Source organism: Homo sapiens, chromosome 17, assembly GCF_000001405.40.
Source record: "Homo sapiens chromosome 17, GRCh38.p14 Primary Assembly".
In the NCBI taxonomy this organism is placed as follows: Eukaryota; Metazoa; Chordata; class Mammalia; order Primates; family Hominidae; genus Homo; species Homo sapiens.
In genome coordinates this window covers 54,345,072-54,346,969 of record NC_000017.11, presented here as the reverse complement: position 1 = coordinate 54,346,969, position 1,898 = coordinate 54,345,072, and the positions used below count along the sequence as shown (strand labels likewise).

At 39.1% G+C, this 1,898-nt stretch overlaps 1 annotated feature.

Annotated features, from left to right (window-relative positions):
* Nucleotides 818-1,585: an enhancer, noted in NCBI's record as "OCT4-NANOG hESC enhancer chr17:52422746-52423513 (GRCh37/hg19 assembly coordinates)". NCBI's record gives its function as "activates a minimal SCP1, AML or CMV promoter by ChIP-STARR-seq in naive and primed H9 embryonic stem cells {active_cell/tissue: H9 hESC(naive and primed)}" and the evidence as "EXISTENCE:reporter gene assay evidence [ECO:0000049][PMID:30033119]".

Here is a 1,898-nt window from a genome sequence, read left to right as displayed (position 1 = left end):
CCTAAAGGAAATAAAAATATTTTACTCCAAAATATATTTCTTAGACAAATTTTGAAATGGCCCTGCAAAGCCGTCTTTCATGGGGGAAATTTGCACCCATAGAGAATCTGCATTAATGTAACTGGGCCTTTCCTGGATCTAGGAGAGATAACTGAGTCTGATATTTTTTTAAATCTGAAAAGAAACACTTACCATTTATTCTGTCTGAAAGGGGCTACCTGGAGGATTCATCTACATAAGAAGAACCTTGGCTTCCACAGCTCCCCTTATCTTAATGCAAGCATTTCTTTCTAATGACTTAAAGTCTTTAGACAAAGCATAACTCTTTGAACCAATTATAAATCAGAAAAATTTTGAATCTACCTATGACTTGTAAGCTACCACTTCTCCCCATTTGAGGATATTCCACCTCTTTAGGCTGAACCAGTGTATACCTTACCTGTGTTGACTTATGTCTTTGCCTGTAATGTCCGTCTCTTTAAAATGTACAATACTTAACTGTAACCTGACTACCTAGGGCACACTTTCTCAGGATCCCTTGAGACTGTTCCCAGGGCCATGGTCACTCATATTGGTTTAGAAACCGGTTTTAGTCATCCATGCATCTATTTTTATGCTAATGATATATTGATTCAGTTATAGGAGATTTTTGTCATATTCTGATGTATGTTAAGCCAAGTTCCTCTTCATTATTATCACTTCTTTAAATATTTTAAAGAGTTTGTTTTTTCATCAACTTATTTATATACAATAGAAGTGCAAAGTATAAATACACACATATGGAGCTTATTCTTTCCTTTCAATATGAGATTATATGCAAATGTTCTGTTTAATGCGCATCCGTGTGAAGAGACCACCAAACAGGCTTTGTGTGAGCAACATGGCTGTTAATTTCCCCTGGGTGCAGGCGGGCTGAGTCCAAAAAGAAAGTCAGTGAAGCGAGATAGGGGTGGGGCCGTTTTATAAGATTTGGGCAGGTAAAGGAAAATTACAGTCAAAGGGGGTTTGTTCTCTGGTGGGCAGGAGTGGGGGTTGCAAGGTGCTCAGTTGGGGAGCTTTTTGAGCCAGGATGAGCCAGGAAAAGGACTTTCACAAGGTAACGTCATCACTTAAGGCAAGGACCAGCCATTTTCACTTCTTTTGTGGTGGAATATAATCAGTTAAGGCAAGGACCAGCCATTTACACTTCTTTTGTGGTGGAATGTCATCAGTTAAGGCAAGGCAGGGCATATTCACTTCTTTTGTGATTATTCAGTTACTTCAGGCCATCTGGGCATATACGTGCAAGTCACAGGGGATGCGATGGCTTGGCTTGGGCTCAGAGGCCTGACATTCTGCATTCTGCTTTTCTCACTTAAGAATACCTCATGGAAATTTATTTTCAACAGGTATAATTCTATTTTATTTCTTTTAATTGCTGCATAGTGTTTCATGGTTTTGTTATTGGAAAAGGGTCCTGATCCAGATCCCAAGAGATTGGACCTCATGCAAGAAAGAATTCTGGGCAGGTCCATAGAGTATAGTGAAAGCAAGTTTATTAAAGAAGTAAAGAAACAAAAGAATGGCTACTCCATAGGCAGAGGAGTGGCATGGGCTGCTTGACTGAGTATACTTACAGTTATTAAATAATTATTAATATTTCTCGATTATATGCTAAATAAGGGGTGGATTATTCATCAGTTTTCCAGGAAAGGGGTGTGGCAATTCCCAGAACTGAGGTTACCTCCCCTTTATAGAGTATATGGAATAACTTTCTGTTGTTGCCATGGCATTTGTAAACTGTCATAGTGCTGGCAGGCGTGTCTTTTAGCAGATAATGCATTATAATTAGCATATAATGAGCAGTGAGGACGACCAGAGGTCACTTTCATTGCCATCTTGGTTTTGTTGGGTTTTGG